The 19,379-nt window shown below is 42.7% G+C and overlaps 2 annotated features.

Annotated features, from left to right (window-relative positions):
* Positions 8,967 to 9,588: an enhancer, noted in NCBI's record as "H3K27ac-H3K4me1 hESC enhancer chr2:16030481-16031102 (GRCh37/hg19 assembly coordinates)". NCBI's record gives its function as "activates a minimal SCP1, AML or CMV promoter by ChIP-STARR-seq in naive H9 embryonic stem cells {active_cell/tissue: H9 hESC(naive)}" and the evidence as "EXISTENCE:reporter gene assay evidence [ECO:0000049][PMID:30033119]".
* Positions 14,564 to 15,088: an enhancer, noted in NCBI's record as "NANOG hESC enhancer chr2:16036078-16036602 (GRCh37/hg19 assembly coordinates)". NCBI's record gives its function as "activates a minimal SCP1, AML or CMV promoter by ChIP-STARR-seq in primed H9 embryonic stem cells {active_cell/tissue: H9 hESC(primed)}" and the evidence as "EXISTENCE:reporter gene assay evidence [ECO:0000049][PMID:30033119]".

Genomic DNA, 19,379 nt, shown 5'->3' on the forward strand with positions numbered 1-19,379 from the left:
GTGGCTCGCACCTGTAGTCCTGGCTACTTGGTGGTGGGGGGTGGCGGGGAGGGTGGAGGGAGGTGGGGGGAGGGATCCTGAGACAGGAGAATCTGTTGAACCTGGGAGACTCCTGGGCCAAGATCGTGCCACTGTGCTCCAGCCTTGGCAACAGAGTAAGACTCCGTCTCAAAAAAAAAAAAGAAATAACAAAAAACTAATGAAAAGTTTAACCTATAGGGGAAGGAGAAAGCATGGAGAAGACACAGAAAGCAGACATCTCTGAATATATACCATGTTTAGTATATTCTATTTTGGAACCCTGTAATTATTTTACATAAATAAATTAAACTAAATTAAACGTAGCTTAAAATTTTTTAAAGCAATCTCAAAATTGGAATAAAAATGAAACAAGTGGATCTAATTGCTGGTGGCAAAACCCCACAGAGAGGAATTCTTTCCAGGGATTTCAAACCACAGTAATTTGATTGCATATCCCCAGTGGGAGATCCCTTGAGAACAAAAGGAAACTGCAAGCAATCTTAGCTTCTTTTCAGTAATTGTACATTTGTGGTAATTGTTGGCATTGTTTTTGGAGACTGCAAATAAATAATTTGAGTGAAGTTAATAGAAGTCAAGGTTTTTGGCATCAGTGAAAAAAGATACGTAAGTGTAAGATCAATGAAATTAAATAGAAGGCCCTATAGTCTTACATTTAAAGCAGAACTATCAGTTTGAACTCATGATGTGTTTTAGAACAAGAGGAGGAGAAGGAAGAGGAAGAAGAAGAATGAGATGAAGAAGAAAAAGAAGGAGAAACCCATATATCCTAGTTCTGTCTACCAAAAAGGCTTAGAAACTATGAAACAATAAACACATGGACACAGGAAGGGGAACATCACACTCTGGGGACTGTTGTGGGGTTGGGGGAGGGGGGAGGGATAGCATTAGGAGATATACCTAATGCTAAATGACGAGTTAATGGGTGCAGCACACCAACATGGCACATGTATACATATGTAACAACCCTGCACATTGTGCACATGTACCCTAAAACTTAAAGTATAATAATAATAAAATTAAAAAAAAAAAAGAAACTATGAAACAATAGGTGGGAGAATTGCTTGAGCCCAAGCTCAATAGCAGTGGGTATCCTTGTGGTCTAGATTACGGTCATGAAACATCATTTATCTCTAAAAGAAACTAAGGTTCTCAAAGGAGCCCATTTCTTCAAAAAAAAAAAAAAAAAATTCTGTCCACTTTGAGGACAGAAAGTGCACAAGGGAGAAATCATATAGAAAATGTATTATTTGAAACATACCCCAAATTAAGGAAGCTATTAATGAGATCATTTTTGAAGTACTTAGGAAATAACCTGAAGAGGTTCCGTGGCCAAGGATGGGATAGCTTGAACATCAAAAGAACAATAAAACCAGATTTAATGAAAACACACCAAATGCACTTAAATCCACAAGTTCACAATGATTCTAAATAAATTAAAAAGCACAGAAACAAAAATAATGGATTACTTTGGAGGAATCGAATTAACATACACACTGTTTTGAACACTGGCAGATGCAGAGTTAAAAGACAACATTTAACCTGCCTTTCCCATGCATCCTGGGGTAACCAAGTAGCTGATGATGAGATGTTTCTCTCTATAGAAATATTCCGGTTAATAAATAAAGAAGGACTAATAGAACATAACCATTTTGCGACCCTTGATGAAATAAAAGATCTAGGTAACGACTATCAAAAATTGCAAAAAGGAGAGAAAATCAGGTATTATGTACATCCAAATGGAAGTATACATTCCTAAGTATGAAGTATGCTTGTGATAGGTAAGTAGATAATAGGTAGATGATGGATGGATAAATAGATGGATGGATGGATGGATGGATGGATGGGTGGGTGGATGGATGGAAAGTTGGAATTAACCTGAATCTGACCAAGTCTCTAGACTTAACAATCATTGTCCAGAAAGTAGAGATGGACAAACAGATTAGAGGACATTATATGGATGCAATCAGCATGATTTGGTTTGGAAAGCTCCACAGGAGACATACGCTGGTGTCTTCAACAAAAAAGAAGAAATTTTTTTAAAAATTAAAAGAAGAAAAGGAAGGGGATTTGATAGATTAAAAGACTGAAAAGATATGTCAAACAATTGCAATGATGGTTCTTATTTGGGTCTTGATTCATTTAAACAAATTATAATTTTTTAAAAAAGAAATCTTTATGGGCCAATGAAAATTGAAAATTGATTAGATATTTTATAATCTAAGGGATTACTGTTAAATTTATGATATGATAATGATATTGTGGGGTTTTTTGTTTTATTTTTTAAAGAGTTATTTTCTTCTAGAGAGGAATATGGAAATATGTATTGATAAAATAAATTCTACATGGAAAACATTTGACACAAAAAGAAAACTAAATACATTGGGAAAAATACAAAAAGCTCATATCTACAATGTTTTTGGGATTTCTTCAAATTGACTTAAAAAAGAGCAATAACCCAGCTACAGTGGCCAACCATCCTGGTTTACCTGAGACTGAAGAGGTTCTCAGCACGAGACTTTCAGTGTTAAAACTGGGTCAGGCCAGGCACAGTGGCTCACATCTGTAATTTCAGCCCTTTGTGAGGCTGACAGGATGAGAGCTTCAGCCCAGGAATTAGAGACCAGGCTGAGCAACACGGCAAAACCCCATCTCTACAAAAAATTTAAAAATTAGCCAGATGTGGTGGTACGTACCTGTAGTCCCAGCTACTCAGGAGGCTGAGGTGGGAGAATTGCTTGAGCCTAAGAGGTCGAGGCTGCAGTGAGGTGTGGTCGCAGCCTGGGTAACAGAGTGAGATCCTGTTTGAAAAAAAAAGAGCAAAGGGCAAAAAACTAAGAGTTGCATATGAAAGAAATACCAATGAATACCACGGAAAAGATGTTCAATTCCATTCATAAGATGAGATATACACATTTGGTTTATAAAAAGATAGTGGTCTTCACCTAAAAAAAAATAGCAAAAGTTAAAAGTCTCAGTATATACTATATTTGTTGAAGCTGCTTCAGGGAAAGAATCCAGCCTTGATGGTAGAAGTATAAATTGATACCACCTCTTCATTTGTAATACAGCTATTAAAGTAAGTGCCTATACCCTTTGAACAATCCAATTTTTAGAAATTCATCCTACAGGACAAAGATATAAGTACCGGGATCTTCATTTATGGTATAATTAATGACAAAAGACTAAAAATGACCTTATCTTCAGGAAGAGAGGACAGCTTGAATAAATTACGTGACCAGGTGTGGTGGCTTATTCCTGTAATTCCAGGACTTTGGGAGGCCGAGGCAGGCAGATCACATGAGGTCAGGATTTTGAGACCAGCCTGGCCAACGTAGCAAAACCCTGTCTTTACCAAAAATACAAAAAAAAAAAAAAAAATAGCTGGACATGGTGGTATGTGCCTGTAGTCCCAGCTACTGGGGAGGCTAAGGCAGGAGAAGAGAATGACTTGAATCTGGAAGGCAGAGGTTGCAGTGAGCTAAGATCGTGCCACTGCATTCCAGCCTGGGTGACAGAGCGAGACTCTGTCTCAAAAATGATGATAATAATAATAAATAAATTATGTAATGCACATAGGTTGACTACAATTATGCACTGAAAATGTGGGTCTGTAAGTTCTAGTATGATGCTATCACCAGCAATCACAGAGTAGAACAGTGTGTAGTGTGCCAATAAAGGCAGTATGTCCATATGCATACATCAGGGCTTGGCAAACTTTGCCTGTAAAAGACTAGATATGGTAGACTTTGTGTGTCATCCAATCTCTGTCACAGTTGGACATGAGTGGAAATGATATGGGTCATTCCTGGGCCAATGGAGTTAAGAGGCAGGTGCCCCATCTTACTCTCATTCTCTTTCCACTGGCTTGATGCCCATGTGTAGATGAAGGGACATGATTAAAGATGCAGAGCCACAAGACAGAAAGAGCCTGCATCTTGAATTAGAGCTTGGAGGGGAGTCATGAGGAATATCCATTTTGTGCTTTACATGGGCATATCCATTTTGGACTTTGCATGAATGAGAAAGAGACAAAAAATCAAGCCAGGCACAATGGTTCACACCTGTAATCCCAGTGCTTTGGGCGGCTGAGGCAGGAGGATTGCTTGAGGCCAGGAGTTCGAGACCACCTTGGGCAACATAGCAAGACCCTGTCTCTACAAAATATAAAAAAATTAGCTGGGTGTGGTTGTGCACACCTATAGTCCTAGTCGCCCTGGAGGCTGAGGCAGGAAGATAGTTTGATCTTAGGAGCTCTAGCCTGGGTGACAGAGCAAGACCCTGTCTCTAAAAGAAAAATCACACTTTATTTGAGCCACTATACTTTTTTGGTTTATTTGTTAATAACCAAATTATGACCCAATCAATAGTAGTTGGCTTTACCCAATGTAGTACACACATAGCTTTTAATAGACATATTCATAACCTTGACCCTAAAAGAAGAGAGTGAGCTTTTTCTGGTGAGTTCCTTTATCAACCAAAATCAGATGATGTGCCCAGGATGTGGTGATTCAAGATCAACCTTTTCTTCCACCTGCTTATTAACTCTCCAGCTAACATGGGAGGCAGGCGGGGCACCTATTATTGTTCCCGTTCAGCAGTGCAAAACTGAAGCTCAAATAGGTGAAACGACTTGTCCTCACTCCTCTTGCTTGACCAGAGACAATATAGTGTCCACTAGGATATTTTAGGATGCTTATCTTTGAGAGTGGTGGGGACAGAGTTGGCCTAATCTAGAAGCCTCCATCATCAGTGAGCACGTGCTGGAGACCACGCCTGTTGAGAAAGTGAGGCTGGCTCTCTGGAGGAAACTTCATCAGGATTTGACTTGAGGATTGACCTAAAATGGCTGCAGTATCAACAGGCACAGAAACCACTTGGGAGACAGCAGGGTGTCTGGGGGAAGAAATCACAGAAACCTCTCAGAGCGAAGCGTCTGTTTTCATACCAGCTGCAAAGTGCAAAATGATATTAAATTGTCAGCATCTTTCCCCTGGTCTAAAGAATGTGAAATCCTATCCCAATCTGTCTGTCGTCAGATCTGCTGTGGGGCTAGGGGCCAGAACACAGAATGTTACGTGCCTAGAGCACCACCATTTCTCAGCTCTGGGGGCCGGGGCGAGGCTTCCTTGCAGTGCTCTGAATCTCAGTTTTCTCATGTGTAAAGTGGAGAGACTTCAGAGCTGGGAGGTTTGTGATGAGGATTAAAAATATGATGTGTCAAAAAAGCTCTGTAAGCTGTGAAAGTCTCAACTAATGTTATCTCATTAAGTGAGATAATAGATGTAAAATATCCACCTGTTATGTAAGTAGGTGGTCAACCTAAAATAGCTTTCACTTGCTGTCTGCATTATACCTACTGTGATGATTACTTTTACCAAGCCCACCCCATGATGGGAAATCTTAGAGGGTATTAGTGTCCCTTTTCATCCTATGTTATTATTTATTACATCTTTGTGGCCAACTGTATTTTGCAAAAATGGCCAAAGCAATATTTTCAGTCTCACATGGTTGTCCAGAAACTTGCTACCCCCTATCAAAAGTTAGAATCTGGCCGGGCGTGGTGGCTCATGCCTGTAATTGCAGCACTTTGGGAGGCCGAGAAGGGTGGATCGCCTGAGGTCAGGAGTTCGAGACCAGCCTGGCCAACGTGGTAAAACCCCATCTGTACTAAAAATACAAAAATGAGCCGGGCGTGGTAGCGCATGCCTGTAATCCCAGCTACTTGGGAGGCTGAGGCAGGAGAATTGCTTGAACCCAGGAGGTGGAGGTTGCAGGGAGCTGAGATGGCGACATTGCACTCCAGCCTGGGCGATAAGAATAAAATTCCACCTCAAAAAAAAAAGAGAGAATGTATTTTCCCTCCCCTTGAACATGGGTGGGACATTGTGACAGCCTGTGGAATAGAGTGTGGTGGATGTTAGGTTCATGATTTCTGAAGCTAGTTCATAAAAGACAATATAGTGTCCACTAGGATGTGTTAGGATGCTTATCTTTGAAATCAGCCACCATGCTGTGAGGGAGCCCAAACTAGCTCACACGCAGAATCCCATAGGGAGGAACCGAGATCCCCAGCCAACAGCCAGCATCAACCACCAGACATGTAAGAGAACAAACTTTAGATGATCCCAGGCCATGTACTTGAGTTTCCTCCTAGTTAAGACATCATGGAGCAGAGCCCTTCTCTGCTCAGCTTGCTAAGGAGGATGCAGATAACAGAGTCTCTTACCTCTGTCACCTGCCTGAATTTCCAGTCCACAAAATCAGCACACAAATGGTTGCTTTACATACTCACTAAGTTTTGGGGTAATATTTGATGCAGTCATAGAAACTGGAACACTCCCCCACTGAGCCACAGACTTCTTGAGGAGAGAGACTATTTTTTTCCTCCTTAGCAAGCTGAGCCCAGGAGCCCTCAGGGTCTGGGTCGTGACCAGTCCTTCCTTAAGGACATCCACCTCCCTTTCTGTCATGTTAGAGTGCCTCTATGCTCTGGGAGGCCTGGACTTCTGAGATGCGCAATGTTTGTAATTCATTGATTCTGTCAACAAATATTTATTGAATATTGGGGGCAAAATGCTAGGACCGAGATAAGAACAAGCCAGACGGGGTGACTGCCCCCGGGGGCTTACAGTCTAGGTGGAGGTGTGGGGGGGAGATTACAAAATGAATCCAAATTGTGATGCTTACTGTTACAGGAGGAGCACAGGGGCCCTATTTGGGTAGAGTGGCTGGCAAAGGCCTCTTCGAGAGAGCGACACTGACTCAGAACGATGAGCGAGCCTCAGGCAGGGTGGGGACAGGCGTGAAGAACACTCCAGGTGGATGGGACAATGACCGCAAAGGCTGTGAGCAGAAGGAACTTGGGATGTTTGGGGAAAATGAAAGAAGGCAAGTGTGGGCCGGGCGAAATGGAACACGCCCGTAATCCCAGCATTTTGGGAGGCCGAGGTGGGTGGATCACCTGAGGTCAGGAGTTTGAGACCAGCCAGGCTAACGTGGTGAAACCCTGTTTCTATTTAAAAAATACAAAAAATTTGCTGGGCATGGTGGTGGGCACCTGTAATCCCAGCTACTCAGGAGGCTGAGGCAGGAGAATCGCTTGAACCTGGGAGGTGGAAGTTGCAGTGAGCCCAGAATACGCCACTGCACTCCAGGCTGGATGACAGAGTGAGACTCTGTCTCAAAAAAAAAAAAAAAAAAAGAAAAAAGGCAAGTGTGGGAGCCTGGTAGGCCAAGGCAGGCTGGAAGCCAGAGATGTGAGAGGGGTGGGCTGTGGCCTGGTAGGCCTCGGAGAATTGCTTGAATTTTCCTCTAAAGGCAGTGGGGAGCCATAGGAGGCTTTCCAGCACATTTGTTTCACTTTGTGAGTTGCCAAATAGCTCCTTGGTCTCACTTTCCAGCACTGGCTGTGCCCAAGCAGAGTGGTGACGGGGCCCCCTGTCAACATTTGTGTTCCCACAGGTCCTTGGTGGGAATGAGGAAATGCTGAGTTTGGTCTCTACAGAGGACACATAGAAGGCAGCCCTCACCTGTGAAACAGACGCACAGGGTAGGCTGGGTTGCCAGGACAGGCAGCATTGGATCTGAGTTACTGGGGAGTGGCCAGTCTGTGGCACATTCTCTCTCTCTTTCTCCCTCTCAATCACACACACACACACACACACACACACACACACACACACACACACACAGCCAAAAGTAGCTAAACAAGAGAAAAGGAGCCTCTGAACAAAGCTGTGGCCTCCGAGTGCCATATCCTTTCTCGCTTAAAAAGCCCCTGGCCCCTCACTGAGAGCTTGCCTGCTCTTACTTTGTGCCAAGCTCTGGCAACCCTGGTTCTCTGCAGTGAGACGCCTGAGGGTTCCCCACACAGGGCTGTACCTGCCTCTCCAGGAGCGGTTCATGCTCTCGGGTTACTTATACTCAGTGTCCCTGGATTAAGAAAGTAGGACATCTGTAGCACGTTTTATAATTGTTTCTATTCAAAATGGATAAGAGAAAATGTTGGTGTTTAAAGCAGCAATAATAAAGATGATGATAACAACCCGTGTTTGTATTTCTTGGTGCGTGCTGTTTGCAGGCACTGTATTCATCTATGACATCCCTGCCACAGGCCCCCGAGCTCTCCAGCTGGGGCAGCTCTCTGATGGAATGCCCCTCTCCTTTAGCGCCCTATCTGCAGGCACACACACACACACACATATACACACACACGCAGCTTCCCAGGAGTGTTCTCATGGATGCACACAGACGCTCCTTCTTACCCTTTCTGAACCCCCCCAAATACAATCCACGTTCTGTGGGAGCAGGAGCTAGGGAGCAGCTGCCCATGGCCCTTTCCCTGCAGGGGCTATGGATGTCAGGAGTGTGATAGCCTCAGAGCCATCCCTGGCATCTGCTTCACTCCAAGGGATGGTGGCCGGGCTGGTAGGAGTGGGGCTTGGGTGCTGCCCCTCGCATACTGTGTGGCAGTCTGTCGGCTCATCTTCAGAGTGTGGTCCCCGTCCCAGCTGTTGCTGCCTGAATTGTGTTTTCCCACGCCCAGGCCTGCCCAAGCTGTCACCAGCTGTGACCAGCTGTCAACCAGTTGTTAGTACTCTGCTTCCCTCCCTGCCACGTGACAGCACTCATCGTCAGCTAGACCCCAGAGGAGTTTTCCGACAGGCAGACTGATAGGCAGATGGCACTCAGTGCCTGAGCACCCTGCAGTCAGGGGGACACCCATGGCGAGACAGCCGTGGAGGTGAGCCAGAGAGACAAACACCCAGAGAGACAGGGATGGAGGCGGGATCACAGAAAAAGAGATCAACCAGAGAGGAGCAGAGCGGCATATGGAGACGGAGAGAAAGCGTGCATGCGTACACACACACGTACACACACACAAGAGAGAGAGAGAGAGACATAGGGAAGGAAGGCCATCCTGGCCAAACAATGTAGCAATAACTCGTTTTCTATCAACTGTGGATCCCGGGAGCCACGGCACCAGGAGTGTTGCTAGTCTGCAGCCCCAATACTCAAAGGGTGGTCCCTGAACCAGGACCAGCAGCATGAGCGTCCCTGAGAGCCTGTTAGAGCCTCGGGCCCACCCCAGGCTATCCGCATCTGCATTTTTACAAGAGCCTAGGCGGTTTATATGCACATTAAGCATTAGAAGCCTACTCCAATCCGAGCTGGCCTCTTGGCTGCAAGAAGTTTGAAGCTGACGTGTGCAGCGTGTACACTTTCTCTCCTGAGTTGTGAACTGAGCCTCAGGAGAAGCCACAATGAAGGGGTGTTCTCTCTGGCTCTGAATAAAGACCAAGGAAGGGGCCTGGCAGCCAGTGTGCTGCCAACTCTGCCCCTACCCTGCCATCCTGGCCCGACCCCCGCCATCCTGCTCCCGCTCCTTGCTTTTGCCCCCACGGTCCTCTCCGTCTACCATGCTGTTGTTTCCTCTTCCAGAAGATCCAGTACTTTGCTTCCTTCCACACCCAGTCTCGGGCTCACCAAGGCAGGAGGCCTTCTTGGGCAGACCCGGAAGATAAAGCTGTTCCCTCTGCTCCCACTGTAATGACAGTCACAGTGAGAATCGCCACCGACAGGCAGCATGTTTTCCACATTCCCAGGCTGCTTTGCTGATTTTTCTCACTCAACTCTCACAGCTGAACCAAATGAAGCCCTATTATTATACCCATTTTACAGAGGCAATCATCAAGACTTAAAGGGTGAATCTGTCCTTCGTTCAACAAATGTTTAGGTGTTTCCAAGTATGTTCCAGTTTAGGGGACCAGCTAATTGAGGAGCCCCACCCCCATCCAGGCTGCAGCTCCCAGATGGTGGACCGCAGAGGCTGGAGCAGGCCATGTGCAGAGGAGGGGGCAGGAGCCCAAGAAGCGTCAGTTGCCTCGCCAGAGATAAGGTTGCTTTGTTCTCCAGGCTGCTTCCTGCACTGGGGAATTCCATTCTGGCCTGCAGGCAGGTGGCTGCCTCCTCAGTTCTTGCACAATCGGCTCTGAAACATCTAGAATGACAGTTATTATGTATTTATGAACTCAGGATCTTTATGGTTTCACAAACTAGGTCTCCCCCTGAAAGAACCACCCATCCCCAGCTCTCAGTCTTAGCCCCCCAAAGGGCCCGCTCTGCCCTCAGTCTGTCATTGCCTGAAGCTGGGCAGGGTGCAAGCGTTCCCCACTGGAGACCTGCAGGGTGGCCCTGGACAGAGAGATAGGAATGCCAAGGGACGCCCCTAGCCCTGGGACCCGCAGGCCTGGGGTGGAGAGAGAAGACACCTCTTATCCTCCTATCATCTGGGCCTCCTAAGCCAAGTGGCTTTACCCGTTTGGAACTCAGTTTTGCAGGCTGTAAATGCGGACAATGGTCCCAGCACTGCCTACCTACCGTGCTAGGGGATTCTGAAGAATGTGAAAATTCTAAAGTGCTGAACACATGGCAGGGCAGTTATCCTGATTCCTGTGGGGCAGGGACAGCCCCCCGCCACCCTCGCTAGAGAAAACCACTTCCAGTTTTTATCTTGTAGATTATATAGGCAGCCATTGCTTAGGGAACAATTTACATTATACTGATCACAATTTCCACTTTTGAAAAATCTTGCTCCTTGTAGAATTTTCTACTTTCTTGTTATTAAGAACAGGCCCTAGCTTGCAAGTGGGAGCTCAATGTAATCTTTAGGGATGTAGTTTGAAAGCTAGAAATGTATGGTAATGAAAAGACCTTTATTACTAACATTTCTGCAGGAAAAATAACTTTATTTTTGCTGGTCTGACACTCTCACAAAAACAGTTACTTGTAGAATATGATTTCTGAGATTTCATATTAACATCTTGCTCCTGATTTTGCAGAACAGCCTTCTTGGCACCCCTCCCAGCAGCCCCATGAGGTAGCTACTGTCTCCATTCTCCTGCTAAGAAAGCCGAGGCCCAGACAGGAGATGTAACTTAGCCAAGATTGCATAGTTGGTAGAAAGGAAGGAATTTGAAGGCAGGACCGTGGGTCTCCAGAGTGATATTTTCCACTGCAATGCTCAACCCGTTCTCTTCTGTAGAGAAGGATCCCTTCACGGCTTCACCCCGATAAATACCAGATGACACAGACAAGCAGAGGTGAGAGAATTCTGTCAACTGTGAAGTCCTACATGTAGGTCAGAGCTTTTTATATCAAAGCTCTAATTTATTACGAGTCATTTAGAGCTTGTTATTTCCTTCACCAACAGAGCCTTGCTTTTACAGAAGGAACCACCGCAGGGTTCCTTGAATAATGAGTGTTTAAGATATTACTAAACACAACTTTCCAGAAGCACAATCTGCCGGAGGGAAGTGAGGGGCACTTTGGGCAGGGAAGTGAAATCTCTGGAACAGTGGATTCTGCACAAGCAGAGGAGACCTACTGAGACCTACTCAAAAGGACAAATGCTTTTGGTTACCCCAGCCTGTTTACAACCCTGCAGCACCAGCTCATTTTTAAAAATCTGTATCTGGCTGTCGGGCACAGTGGCTCATGCCTGTAATCCTAGCACTTGGGGAGTCTGAGGCAGGTGGATCGCTTGAGCTCAGGAGTTCACGACCACCTGGGGCAACAAGGCAAAACCCCGTCTCTACTAAAAATACAAAAAGCTAGCCAGGCGTGGTGGTGTGCATCTGTAACCCCAGCTACTGGGGAGGCTGAGGCACAAGAATTGCTTGAACCCAGGAGGCAGAGGTTGCAGTGAGCCAAGATTGTGTCACTGCACTCCAGCCTGGGCAACAAAGTCAGACTTTGTCTCAAAAAATAAAACATAAATTAAAAATAAAAAATAAAAAAAAAAAACCTGTATCTTATTTATCATCACTTATAGTAAATGGTGTTTATGGTAGGGTCTAACAGAGTTATTATTCCAAGGACACTCAAAAAGTTTTCATAACCTGCCCAAGGTCCTATCTGCAAGCATCTCTTAATAGTCAATGCACAACAATATGGTCTAGCAATTCTACTTCTTGTGTATACACACAACAGAATGGAAAGTAGGGACTGAAACAAATATTTACACACCTATGTGCATAGCAGCATTATTCACAGTAGCCAAAAGCTGTAAGTAACTCAAATGTCCATTAACAGATGAATAGATAAACAAAATATGGTACGTACATGCAATAGAATATTGTTCAGCCTTTCAAAAGGAATTACATGCTAATTACATGCTGACACATGCTATAACATGAATGAACCTTGAAGACATTATGACAAGTAAAAGAAGCTACACACACACACACACAAAGGCAAATACTATATGATTCCACTAATATGATGTACCTAGAGGAGGCAAATTCATAGAGACAGAAAGTCAAAAATGTTGGTTGCCAGTGGCTTGGGAGAGGGGAGAATGGGAAGTTGTTTTTTAAATGGGTATGGAGTTTCTGTTTGAGAAAATAAAAAAGTTCTGGAGATGGATGGTGGTGATGGTTGCATAACGATGTGAATGCACTTAATGTCACTCAACTGTACACCTAGAAATAGAGAAAATGATAAATCTTACGTTATCTGTGTATTACCACGATGCAAAAGCAAAGTCAATGTATAATCTGAATAATAATTCATCTGCCAACTTTACAGATGAAGAAACTGATGTTCAGAGTGGTTAAGTGACTGCTCCCAAGTCAAAAAGCCAGAATCAAAGCTGGGATGCAAGCCAAGGCTTTCTGACAGGTCTCTCTCTGCTTCTGCATGCTGCTTCTTGTCTGAATGCCTTAGTGGCCTCTGCATGGCCTTTGGTGAAAGGATTTTGTTTCTTTTGCAGAAAACAATCATTGAAAGGCATTTAGCCTTGGATCATTAGTTAGGAGCTGCCTCTGGCACAAATTTAGTGCGGCCTCAGCTTAGGCCCTCCCCAGTCTGCACCTCAGCTTCCCCATCGGGCAATGAGGTGGCTGCATTGGTGGTCGGCTTCCAAGGGCACATCCAATCCCCACATTCCATCACTCTTTCATACCACATAGCCTCTCAAACAGAACTGCCTTTAGAAAGAAGCAAAATTCATACGTCAATTATAATTCCCAGTTCTTCTTAGTTTCAATTTCTGCCTGTTGCCTCGTATCATGACAATTTCACCCTCTTGAATTTGCAGAAGTGTGCTCATTTGGTTGATATGCTCACCCTACAAATTCCCCAACCACGTTTTGTTTCGGCAACAGTTGGCTTCAGACCTCATAGTCAGAACTGCCTCTCGTAAATTCTTTATGACTGTTTGGTTTGAAACCTGCAAGGTAAAATCGTCTGAAGGTTATCAAGATTGATACTGCAGGCTTTGTTTTGAAGTCACTCAGTGGGGACAGTTATATGTATCTTATTTTAAAACTTGCAAAGCAAGATCCCTAATGATTTGTTTGTCTCTGCTTCAAAGCTTTACATATTTCTTTTGTCTATTGTCTGATAGGGATTCGTCTGTGATTTAAAACAAACAAACAAACAAACAATTTAGTTGAATTTTTTTTTTAATTCTAAGTGTAGGACCAGCACATGAAAAGTGGCTGACCCAGCAGGATGGGATAAAAGAATAACTCTTACAGAGTGTTTAGGACTTGATCCGTAGAAAGACCACACTTTTATTCAAGTGCAGTGAGTAAAAAAATGGTCCCGTTATATTATCTGGCAATTTATTGTCATTCTGAGAAGGCTATAGGTTTTTTTTATTTGATAAAAAAGTAATACATATTCAGACCTAGAAAATGTGAAAAATGTAGAAAAGTACAAAAAGACAATAATCCCATTACCTGAGATACTTACTATTAAATTTTGATATACACTTCTAGTTATTTTTGCATTCATGTATATATTATTTATCCAAAAATAGGATTATGTGTTACATTCTCTTCTGTAATCTACTTTTTTCATTTATATGTAAAACTTTTTTCTATTTTATTAAATACATTCTATAAAGTCACTCTAATATTAATAGCTACACAGTAGTCTATTGCATGGATGTATCAACATTTACTTAATTCCACCCCTACTATTAGATGTTTCTTTCCAATTTTTTTGCTTAAACAAAAAACAAAAAGGACTGAGATTATCATTACTTTGGCTAAAATTCTATGCACGTCTCAATTATTTTTGGAAAATAAATTTCTACAAATGCATTGCTAGGTTAAAAATACACGGTTCTAAAGCTTTTAATAGATATTGTTATCATAGTTGTGAAAACTCTAAAACTTCCAAAATAAACACAAAGCAAGAGAAATGGAAAGGGTAATCATATATTTCTAGACCTCTTCCACATAATCTTCTTCCTCTGTGTCTCATCGTGATACTTTCCAAACCCAAACTGGCCAGCCTGCTCTAATATCTGCGGTGTCCTCAGATAGTTAAGCTGTAGAGGGGAAGAACTCAGGACTAGGAGATTGGACACTTGGCTTCCAATCCTGAATCAAGCTTCACCAATCTGGCCATAAACAAGATATCTGGCCTTTAAAGTTTCTCCATTTGTGAAACCATGTCACCATGGTTTCATCTGATGTCAGCCAGATAATTACAAAAGGCCCTTCCTGAGCTTATATTGGAAATGAAAGAAAACGGATGAAAATGCAGGTAAAATATTAACATGGTGCTTCTGATTTTCGTTCCCCATGCTTGCTTTTCCAATCATTTCAACCTCCCCATGTGCTTCCCCCAGTGCTTGGCTGCATTTACCTTCTCTTATTTCAGTCTAAAACTCACTCTTGGGCAGGCTTCAGCTGGGTGGCCAACGATTACCAAGCCTTTTTGAGTCATTAGGAATTAGAAGTAATCTTTCCCCAATGTGCTCCTTTGCAGTTTATCCAGAGCCTTTGAAATGCAAATTACTCCAACCTGCAGCTGGGGAAACTGGACTCTTTAGGGCCTCCAACTGATCTCCACAGCCTGTGCCCAGCAAGCCCCAAGCAGGCAGGATCCTGTGGCCTGCTTCCGAAGATCAAAGGGGCATTGTTCATCTAAAGTTCACCACCAGAAAACCTAGATTAGCAAGTAGTTCCACCTCCATCAGTCTTTAATATCAAACGGCTGTTAACACAGGCAGGACACAAGGCCTCTGGCCACAGGCTCTGAGCAACTCAAGAAGAGAAGCTACTAAGATATCTCACAAGAGGAAAAAGTAGCAGGTGAAGTTTCTGTTCTGATCTCTCTTGGTATGGAATACAATCAGTGGTTAAGAATGGCAGCTCCGGAGCTGGGCACGCTGGGCTGTTCTCTGGTCTTGCACAGAGGAGGTACTAATACAAGCATTTGGAATAAACTAAATGAATTTCTATAGCTAAGTCTAGGGGGCATATACTCTTCTTTGTTGGCACATTTGTGGTCTCCTCCTTGCTCTTCTTTGAACTAGTCCTGACTGGGCAATGGAAGTCAGCAAGCTCTGGCCAGCAGGGAGTGGACTCTGGGCTTCTTGACTACCACATGTTTCCACAATGCACAGTTTGATTACCTGGGCCCCTGCCTTGTCTTTCCAATAAATGCCCCATGGACACGCACATTCTCTCTACTCCCTCCTGGAATCCCACCAACGTGATCGTAAAGGAATGCAAGAGGCACAAACTACGAGGGAAGAGAGAATAAGAGAGGAGATGACAGTGGACAAGAGATATCTACAAAATTCTAGAAGCTGCAAAACAGATGAATTAGTAGTAACTGACTTAGTGGAGAGAAGAATAACCTTTCTTCAGTAGGCTAAACAAACTAGGAGACAGCAGCTAGTAAGAGATGCCAAAAAAGTTCTAAAAATGTGAAAACAGAGAGATGAATGGTATCTGACTGAGAAGAGAGAAGAAAAGTGAATCTGACTTCCTTCAGTAGGACCAGCTAGATATAATTTCCTAGAGCTAAAGAATATATGTATAATTTCCCAGAGCTAAAGAATATATATATATATATATATATATATATATATATATATATATATATATATATATTTTAGAGACAGGGTCTTGCTCTGTTGCCCAGGCTGAAGTGCAGTGATGCAATCACAGCTCACTGCACCCTTGACCCTCTCCGCTCAAGCAATTTTCCCACCTCAGCCTCCCAAGTAGCTGGGACTACAGGTGTGGATCGCCATGCCTGGCTAATTTTTGGTACTTTTTTGTAGAGATGGCATTTCACCATGTTGCCCAGAATGGTCTCAAACTCCTGAGCTCAAGCATTCCACCCACCTCGGTCTCCTAAAGACGACATTTTTAAATAGAAAAGGTTCTCCAAATGCCCAACATAATGTTGGACATTTGAAAAAAAAAGTACATTGATATAAAATTTGATAATAGTAAGTATGAAAAAGATATCCTGAAAGGTTTTTTCTGGGGTTTTTTTGTGTTTGTTTGTTTTGTTTTTGTTTTTTTTTTCAGAAGGGGAAGGAATCAATCAGAAAACTAGAAGCTAAAAACACATGGATGTACTTTCTTAAACATTCTGAGGGAAAATAATTTTCAAATGTAGAATATTATACCCAGCCAAATTATCAATCAAATGTAAATTGAGAAAAAAACCTCAGACTTGAAAGATCTCAAAAGCTTATGTCCATAAATTCTTCCTCAGGAAGTTGCTGCAGAAAATACTCCATCAAAATGAGAGTTAAGACAGAAAAAGACATGGGACATGGCAAAGATTTACCCTAGGAACTAGATTTACCCTCCCACCTGAAACAAATATAGAACCAGACCAAATGTAAGAAACAACAGCTCTGAAGACATTAGACATTGGGTAACAAAGACCAGTGAAACAAATAGAGCCTTACAGGCAGGGAGAACACATCCAGACAGAAGCCAAGGGCTTCTTTGAGTTTGAGGAGATGAAGCGGCACATCTGGGGAAATGTCCTGGAAAAACCAAGGGAGCCAACATTCATAGAATTGAATACCCGTGTACAGAGCGCTGCACAGAAAGGGAACTTCAAAGATCTGAAGAGAGTTCCTTTAAGAATTCAATTGAGTACTTACCAGTGCGTACAGGTGAGGAAACTCCCCAAGGTCAGGGAAAGAAAGCACTAGAGGGAACTGTGCTGGGGCCAATGCCTGCTCCATCAGATTGGAACAGCTCAAAATTCATAAAGCATTAGCTAGAGTACCAAGGAGGATCTTGCCCCAGTCAGGGAGAAAAGTTGACCCTAGACTAACCATTGCTTTGTTCCAGCCTAATAAAGATTAAAAGCAAGAACCAAAAGGAGCACATTGTTTCTGTGTAATTTAACCTCATCCCAGAACAAAGTTCAACAATATTTTTAAAGGTCGGGCATGGCGGCTCATGCCTGTAATCCTAGCACTTTGAGAAGCCAAAGCGGATGATCACTTGAGCTCAGGAGTTCGAGACCAGCCTGGGCAACATAGTGAGACTTTGTCTCTAAAAAAAAAAAAAAAAAAAGAAAGACAGAAATATTATTAGGAATGAAAATATATCCAGCACCCAACACTAATAAAATTCATAATATTTGGGATCCAATTTAAAGGAAAATGAAACCCATACTGAAGAGAAAACTCATTTATGGAAACTCACCCAGAAATAGCACAAATGATAGAAATAGTAGACAAAGACATTAAAATCATTATAGGGCCAGGCACGGTGGCTCATGCCTGTAATCCCAGCGCTTTGAGAGGCCTATGCAGGCAGCAGATTGCTTGAGCTCAAGAGTTTGAGACCAACCTGGGAAAATGGCTAAGCCCTGTCTCTATTAAAAATACAACAAAGTTAGCCAGGAGTGGTGGTGTGCACACATATAGTCCCAGCTACTTGGGAGGCTGAGTTGGGGGAATTGCTTGAACCTGGGAGGCAGAGGTTGCAGTGACTCGAGACCATGCCATTGCACTCCAGCCTGGGTGACAGAGCGAGACTCCATCTCAAAAAAAAAAAAAAAAAATTGTTATAACCACATTTTACATCTCTAAGGAGTTAGACAAAAGATTGAACAAGTTTAGTAGAGAGACAAAAGATATAACTAAGATCCAAACAGAATCTCCAAAGAGAAAAACTTTTTATATCTGATACGAAAAGTACATTGGAAGGGAATAATGGCGGATTGTATATTACAGAAAAAAAAGATTAGCAAACTTGAAGATGCATCAATAAAAAGTATTCAAAATGAAACACAGGAAAAAAAAAGACTGAAACACAAATAAACAGAGCATTAGTGAAGTGTAGGACAACTTCAAGCAATCAAACATAAGTGAGGGCTACTGTAAAACATACTTCACCAGCAAATGATCCACAGCTCCTGCTACACATGTCGTCATGTAAACCCCTCATCGAATGTGAGCTGTGCTTAGTGAGTGACTTCCAGAGAACAGGATAAGGGAAATGTGATGGTGAGTGACTTGGACACCAGCGTTCCCAAAGAAAGGGAAAGTGGGGGACAGAAAAATATTTGAAGCCAGGTGAGGTGGCTCACGCCTGTAATCCCAGCACTTTGGGAAGCTGAAGCGTGCAGATCACCTGAGGTCAGGATTCGAGACCAGCTTGGCCAACATGGTGAAACCCTGTCTCTACTAATGACACAAAAATTAGCTGGGCGTGGTGGCCTGTGCCTGTAATCGCAGCTGCTTGGGAGGCTGAGGTATGAGAATTGCTTGAACCCCAGAGGAAGATGTTACAATGAGCTGAGATTGCACCACTGCATTCCAGCCTGGGGGACAGAGTGAAATTGTGTCTCAAAAAGAAAAAGTATATATACATATTTTTTTTTAAAGAAATAACAACAAAAACCTTCCAGATTTGATAAAAATTATAAACCCACAGATTTAAGAAGCTAAAACAAACATGGAAAAAAAAAAAAACCTATACCAAGCCATAGTATCATCAAATTGTTTAAAACTAGTGATGAAAAGAAAAATCCTGAAATTAGCCAGGGATGGGGGAAGGGCACATTGTATACAACAGAAAAAAGACACGTGAATATAGCAAATTCCTCATTAAAAACAATGTAAGCTTAAAGACAGTGAAGCAACATCTTTAAAGCATTGAAAGAAAGGAAAAACTGTCAACACAGAATTCCACATGCAGTGAAATTATCTTTCTAAAAACAAGGATAAAATAAAGACTTTTTCAGACATAAAAAAGCTGAAATAATTCATCACCAGCAGACCTGCACTATAAGAATCGTTAAAGGAAATACTTCAAGCAGAAGGAAAACGATACCAAATGGAAATCTGGATTTACACAAAAAAATGAGAAGCACTAGATATGGTACATACATGGATAAATATAAAGGCTAATATTATTATTTTTGTTATTGACATTTTTAAAAGGTAAAAGTGATTGACGCAAAAATATTAACAATGTATTTTGATGTTTGTTGTTAACATATATACAGGTAAAATATATGAGAATAATATCACAAAGTCCTAGAGGGAA

This window comes from Homo sapiens, chromosome 2 (assembly GCF_000001405.40).
Source record: "Homo sapiens chromosome 2, GRCh38.p14 Primary Assembly".
Taxonomy (NCBI): domain Eukaryota; kingdom Metazoa; phylum Chordata; class Mammalia; order Primates; family Hominidae; genus Homo; species Homo sapiens.